The 7,661-nt window shown below is 38.9% G+C and overlaps 1 annotated feature.

The window, feature by feature from the left end:
• Positions 6,148–7,347: an enhancer, noted in NCBI's record as "BRD4-independent group 4 enhancer chr13:23126652-23127851 (GRCh37/hg19 assembly coordinates)". NCBI's record gives its function as "activates an origin of replication core promoter dependent on BRD2, P300/CBP, MED14 and CDK7 cofactors, and independent of BRD4, by STARR-seq in HCT116 cells {active_cell/tissue: HCT116}" and the evidence as "EXISTENCE:reporter gene assay evidence [ECO:0000049][PMID:35650434]".

The following is a 7,661-nucleotide window of genomic DNA, read 5'->3' as shown; positions in this document are numbered from 1 at the left end:
GATCCGCCCGCCTCGGCCTCCCAAAGTGCTGGGATTACAGGCGTGAGCCACCGCGCCCGGCCCATATTTTGCTCTTCTAATCAATGTCACAATGAAGAATCTGTCATAAATTCCCAGAAATGGCATTACTATGTCGAAGGGAGAAGTGTATATATAATTTTAGTAGATGTTGCAAATCGTCCTCCATAATGGTTATAACAATTACTATCCAATCAGCAAAGGGTGACAGTGCTTATTTTGATCACAATTTACTAACACTGTGTTACCAATCTTTGGATTTTGTTGTCAATCTGCGAGATAAAAAATGGTGTTTTAGTTTAATTCTATTTAGTTGTATTTTGCATTTATCTTTTAATGAGTAAAACTGAGAATTATTTTTATATGTTTATAAACTGTTTATATTTTTTCTTTAATTTTCTAGTTATACTCATTGCAGTGGTTCTACTGTGGTCAGTGTGTTTCTTCTAAAGTTCTTTGAGCTCTTTGCATATTAAGGATGTTGACTCTTTGTGATGTAAATGGCCAATAGCTTTCCTAGTTTTTCATCTCCCTTTTCACTTCACTTGTGAATTTTTAAATGGATTCATTTTTATCATTCTTTTAGCTTATGACTTCTGCGTGTCGAACCAAAGTCAGAAAAGCCTTTCCCACTTAAAGACTATAAAGGAACTCACTGTTTTTTATTTTTGTACCTTGCTAGTTTGAATTTTTTGTTTTATATTTAAATCCTTGATCATCTTGGTGTTTGCTATTGTCTGTGAATGCAACTTTACCTTTTTTGGGTAACTTCACAGTCGTTCCTATTCTATTTATTTGAACATCTGTTATTGTTTGTGCTGATTTGAGATCCTTCCTTCATTGTACATTAAATTCCCTTCTGTATTTGTGTCTATTTTAAAACTCTAAACTGTTCCCTTAGCATTTATTTGCCTATAGCACAACAGTATCTGACTGAATTTATTATCTAGGTTTTGTACCCTAAAATAACCAGAAAAAAAATCTCACTTTCATATTTCCCCATGATTTGCTGCAGGCTGAGAAACCGTATTGAAATCTTGCACGCTAATGTGTTCCATCTGATTCTCCTGGTATCAACTATAGTTTTGTTTTTAAACATCGTTTTTATATTTTGTGATGTATGGCCTATTCTCATATCCTCATTTGAATTTCACCCTTCAGCATTAAAAATTCCTCTCTTTTCTTTTTTTCTTTCTACTGTGTTCGTAACCTGAATTTCACTGGGTCACTTAATAAGACGACACACCTCTGCTTCGTTCTTTTTGTTGTTGTTGTTGTGTTTTTGTTTTGTTTTGTTTTGTTTTGAGACAGGGTCTCGCTCTGTCGCCTAGGCTGGAGTGCAGTGGCATGATCTCAGCTCACTGCAACCTCCGTCTCCCAGGTTCAAGCGATTCTCCTGCCTCAGTCTACCGAGTAGCTGGGATTACAGGCATGCGCCACCATGCCCAACTAATTTTTATATGTTTAGTAGAGACAGGGTTTCACCATGTTGGACAGGCTGGTCTCGAACTCCTGGCCTCAGGTTGGTCTCGAACTCCTGGCCTCAGGTGATCCACCCGCCTGAGCCTCCCAAAGTGCTGGCATTACAGGCATGAGCCACTGCACCCAGCCTGCTTTGTTTCTATTGCATTTGTCTTGTGTAACTTTGCCCATCTTTTCATTTTCAATCTTTCTAATGACTTTGATTTATAAAATTACTCATTAAAAATCAATTTTCTTTAACATGTGGATGTGTCTTCTTTAGCTTATGTATATTATGGCCATTACTGTTGTGTTTTCGTTTTAGATTTCTATTTATAATCTTAAAAATTTGTCAAAATTGATGGGGTACTTGAGAAACTTTTTACGTGTATATAATATGTGGTGGTCAAGACAGGGTACTCAGGGTTTTCATCATCTAAGTCCAATTTTTCTTTTTTTCTTTCTTTTTTTTTTTTTTGAGACAGAGTCTTCTCTCTATCGCCTGGGTTGGAGTGCAGTAGCATGATCTCTCACTGCAAGCTCCACTTCCTGAGTTCATGCCATTCTCCTGCCTCAGCCTCCCGAGTAGCTGGGACTACAGGCGCCTGCCACCATACCCGGCTAATTTTTTGTATTTTTTAGTAGAGACGGGGTTTCACCGTGTTAGCCAGGATGGTCTCCATCTTCTGACCTCGTGATCCACCCACCTGGGCCTCCCAAAGTGCCGGGATTACAGGAGTGAGCCACCACGCCCGGCCCAATTTTTTTTTTAAGTATTGTTCTACTCTGCTGTCAAACATTGAATTTATTTTATACCATTTTATAATGTGATCTCTTTCTTCTCTTTGATTTTTTTCTTTATAGGGTCTTGATATTTTGGAAAGTCTATATTTTTGTCCTAGTGGCAACTGTTATTATATTTATACTATATAAAATATTTTTAATTATGCTTTCTTATTTTCTGAACTATAAGCATTTCTAAAAGTACCACATTCCATATTCCTTCTCCTCCTCCTGTCCTCTATCACCTAATTTTACACAAAAATATCTCGCTGCCCACAATGGCTCACACCTGTAGTCCCAGCACTTTGGGAGGCTGAGGCGCGCGGATCACCTGAGGTCAGGAGTTCGAGACCAGCCTGGCCAACATTGCAAAACCCCGTCTCTACTAAAAATACAAAAATTAGCTGGGCATGGTAGTGCGCGCCTGTAATCCCAGCTACTCATGATGCTGAGGAAAGAGAATCACTTGAACCCGGGAGGTGGAGGTTGCAGTGAGCCGAGATCGCACCACTGCACTCCAGCCTCGGCAACAGAGTGAGACTCTGTGTCAAAAAAAAAAAAAAAATGTGCATATACACACACACACACACACACACACACACACACATAATCTCTTTAATCTCTTTCAGTGTCTACCCTTTTACTTCTATTACGTGACTTCAGCATTATATTATCTATGATCTTTATCACTCAGCTTTAGAGGTGAGACCATCTCTACTTCTCAATATCTTTGTACTTCCTTATTTTTGTTTGTTGTAATTTTTCTGTATTTTCAGTATAACATTGGCATCTTTTCCTTCATCACCCCATTTCTTTTAGTTGTATATAGATACATACAAAAATTTCTTGCTTATCATCAGTCATATTGTTGCAGGGTAGTTTCCCCATTTTTTGTTTGTTTGGTTGAAAACTCTACTAGTTGCAGAAAACACCCTCAGTTCACTAACAAGGGCTCAGAAGAACAATATTTTCTGAATCCTTTCGTGTTCGACCCAGTTAGCTTTTATGCTTAAAAACACTTTTAAAATAACTTGTGTTATCCTGCTTTCCTTTGAGGTTTCAGAAGTCACCTCTATGTGCCTTTGTACAAATTAGAAAAAGGGGCCTCTCTCTGGCACATTCAGTCCTGGGTACATAATGCTCGCTGAGAAGAAGGGAAATCAGAACCCCTCATGCATGCTAGACAGGCACTGGCCTTCCTGCCACCTCCAGTTCTGTCCTTGCTTCTGAGGTCGTTTTTTTTTCTACTTCTTTCCTGAAGTTTTTTGATTCTGACATTTTTATATAGCATTGGACTATATTTGTTTATGGTTAATTCATGAGTCTCTCTTAATAATTTTTTTGTTATTTATATCTAGTTTAATTCCACTGTAGCAGAGACTACACCGTATGTTTGAATGATGTGAAATTTGGTGATATTTGCCTTATGGTCCAGGCTATGTGCACTTGAAAAGCTAAGTGCAGTGATCTGCATATGCCAATTAGGCCAAATTTGTTAGGCATGATGTTTAAATAGTCCATGCATCATTTTTTTTTCTTTTTAGTGTTCTATTGGTTATTGAGAGTGGGATATTAGTCTTTCACTATGAGTGCGGACTTGTCTGTTTCTCCTTTCAGTTCTTTCAGCTTTTAGTTTTATATATTTTAATGTTATTCTATTAGCTGCCAACAAATTCAGAATTCTGTCTTTCTAGTGGACTAGCCATTTTATCATTAGGAAATATCTTTGTCTCCAATAATGAGCATTGCCTTAAAGTCTGCTCTGTCTGATGTCAGTAGGGCTATCCCAGTTTGTTTTCATTAGTTTTTACATGTTAAATCATTTACGTCTTTTTACTTTTAACCTTTATGTCCTTACATTCAAGGCATATCTCTTTAAAACACTGTATGTTTGAGATTTTAAAAAATCCTGAATCCGTGTTTTTTTAATGGAAACATTTACTGGCGTTATTTGACATTAAATCTATGCACTATTTACAATAGGTCTTCCCAAGTTCATTTTGTACCTTTCTGGAATTATTCAAGTTTAATGAAACATTTATGGTTCTATTTTTGTTTCTTTTTTATTAGTTTATTAGTAATATAGCCTTTCATCATTATCATTATTATTGCTTTAGGGGTTTCAATATAAATCCTTGATTGATTAGGGCCACTCTAAAAACAGATACTTTCCATCATTTCTTCATCAATACAAAGATTGAATTTTACTAGCCTCACCTTATTTTTGCTATTACTAGGGTCAGGAACTTTCATTCTACATATATTTTGAAGCATATGACATTATTAACATTGTTATACAGGAAAAATAGTTATTTAGATTTACCCATATCATCACTTTTAAATTCTTTGTTCCTTCCTGTACTTCCAGGTTTTCATCATTTTCCTATTGCGTGAAGAACTCCCTGATTATTTCTTTCATTGCATATTTGCTGCCAATAAATCCTCTGTTTCTGTTTATAAAGATCTTTATTTTCAAAGGATTGCTTTTGCTAAGTCAAGGATTCAGGATTGGCAATTATTTTCTTTTAGCCTGTTAAAGTTGTTATTGCATTTTCTTTGTGCTTAGATAATTTCTGTTAAGAATTCAGCTCTGGGTATCATTGTTGCTCTTTTTAAGATAATGTGCCTATTTTCCCTTGGCTGCTTTGAAAACTTTCTTTGGCTTTGGCTTTTAGCAGTTTTACTATGCTGCTAAATGTGCAGTTGTTCATTTTGTTGTTCTTAATTTAATTTGCTTGTGGTCCGTAGTTTTTCTTTAATCTTTGACTTGGGTCCTTTGTCTGTTTTGAGAATTCTCAGCCATTATGTCCTCAAATACTGCTTCCACCCCATGCCTCTCTTTTCTGTTTAGAACACCAATTATACACATTTTATATCTTTCAAAATCTCCTTTGTTTTCCATACTGTTTTTCTTTCTCTCTCTTTTTGTAAATATTTCTTTCTGTGTTTCAAATAAGGATATTTTCTACAGATCTGTCCTCCAGCTCACTAACCCACTCTCCTGCGTTTGACCTGCTGTTGAAACTGTTTATTGAGTTGCTGATTTCGGTTACTTTACAGCTTTAGGATTTCCATTTAATTCTGTTTCATAGACTCTCATTTTCTGGTGAAAATGTCCATCTTACCATTTACTTATTTAAACATATGACTCTGATGGCTCTTTATCATCTGTGGAGTTGCTACTACTTTCTATTTAATTCTGTTTCACAGACTCTTATTTTCTAGTGAAAATGTCCAACTTACCATTTACTTATTTAAACATATGACTCTGATGGCTCTTTATCATCTGTGGAGTTGCTACTACTTTCTATTTTTTCTCTTGGTGTTTGGTCACCTGGTCCTATATTTTTCAAAGCCTGATAATAAATTACTGAATGACAACTGTTGCTTGTTACAGCAGTATCTCTGAAAACACAGTTGCTTGTTACGACAATATCTCTGAAAGATATTATCTTCATCTAGGAACTATTTCCCTTTATCTGGATGATTGTTACACTAGGTACAGATCAACTTGATCCTTTCTGGAATGAAGATGTTTCAAATGAGCTTTCTGTCTTAGTGAAGGATAGACTTTTTCTAGTTTGCTTTCTCTCCTAGGAAATAATACATTGGAAGCCTTACCTGAAAGCTTGTTAGTGTTTGCAGTGCCTTTCTCTGGGTCTTGCCTTAATTTCCAGTGTTTGCATTCCCAGTGGATGCTTAGTGACTGCTTTGCTTGACTTCCTGGCCTCTCACCTGCACCATATTCCCTCACTCTCATCCAACCTACAAATAGGGAATTTCAGGCTCACCTTCCATGGTTACCTTTCCGACAGGCTTGGCTCCTTCTAAATCCAGGCCACCTTGGTAGCTCTACATTTCAACTTTGTCTCCCCTAACCTATAAGCTTGCTGGAGGTCTCTCCACTGCTTTCATTTGATCTTCCGAGGCTCGTGCCCCTTAGAACTTGGTAAGTGTCTGGATAAGAGACGTGATGGGTGACATTGGGGTCACCTCAGTGCCATTTCCCCCTCTCAGGGCATCTTGGCCACTCAAGTTACAGATATCTTGTCTGTTCTCTATCATCTTCAGAAGGCTGTTGTTGCTGTTTTAATTTCGCAACTTTTTACAGCGTTCCAGTTGAGAGGTGAAGCTGTGTGGGCTTCTGGGTCGGGTGGAGACTTGGAGAACTTTTCTGTCTAGCTAAAGGATTATAAATGCACCAATCAGCACTCTGGTGTGTCTAGCTAAAGGTTTGTAAACGCACCAGTCAGTGCTCTGTGTCTAGCTAAAGGATTGTAAATGCACCAATCAGTCTAGCTATCAGGTAGGGGACTTGGAGAACTTTTCTGTCTAGCTAAAGGATTGTAAATGCACCAATCAGTGCTCTGTGTCTAGCTAAAAGATTGTAAATGTACCAATCAGCACTCTGTCAAAACAGACCAATCAGCACTCTGTAAAATGGACCAATCAGCACTCTGTAAAATGGACCAATCCGCTCTCTGTAAAATGGACCAATTAGCAGGATGTGGGTGGGGCCAAATAAGGGAATAAAAGCAGGCCACCCGCCAGGTCCAGGGATTCCCTGGGGTCTCCTTCCACATTGTGGAAGGTTTGTTCTTTCTCTCTTTGCAATAAATCTTGCTGTAGCTCACTCTTTGGGTCCACGCTGCCTTTATGAGCAGTAACACTCACCATGAAGGTCTGCAGCTTCACTCCCGAAGTCAGCAAGACTGTGAACCCACCAGAAGGAAGAAACTCGGGACACGTTGGAACATCAGAAGGAACAAACTCCAGACACACCATCTTTAGGAACTGTAACACTCACTGCGAGGGTCTGTGGCTTCATTGTTGAAATCAGCGAGACCAAGAACCCACCAATTCCAGACACACAAGTATGCTAGTTACTCTGATAAAAGCTTCTCCATCAGAGCCATAGGCAAAGATGCTGGCCACTTCGTACCAGTCCCACTGCCACCGTGAGATGTGAGTACCCACTGTGTCTTACCTGGAATACTGCAGTGGCTTCGTAACCAGACACACTGTGTCCACCTTGGCCCTCTTACAATCCATTCTCAACAGAGCAGCCAGAAAGATACCTCAAAACGTTAACCAGTTCATACCAGATATTTCAACGGGCTCCCCCGAGCCTCAGAGTAAACATAACATTCACTGTGAAGAAAAAGCGCTCCCCACCCTGCTCTCACAGATCTACAAGGCCCTACACACCCCCCACCATAGTCCTACTCTGCCCTGTCCCACTCTGCTCCAGCCACACTGGCCTCCCGACCATTCCTGGAGCACCAGGTGCCCCTCCACTGTCGGGCCTGTGCCCTGGCTGCCTACTCTTCCTGTAACATCTTTCCCCAGGTACATGATGGTTAATTGCTTCATCTTTCAACTCCTGGTTTAGATGTCAT

The sequence above is a fragment of the Homo sapiens genome, chromosome 13 (genome assembly GCF_000001405.40).
Source record: "Homo sapiens chromosome 13, GRCh38.p14 Primary Assembly".
NCBI classification, from domain to species: domain Eukaryota; kingdom Metazoa; phylum Chordata; class Mammalia; order Primates; family Hominidae; genus Homo; species Homo sapiens.
Note: the sequence above shows the minus strand (reverse complement) of the source record. Positions and strands in the feature narration are given on the sequence as shown.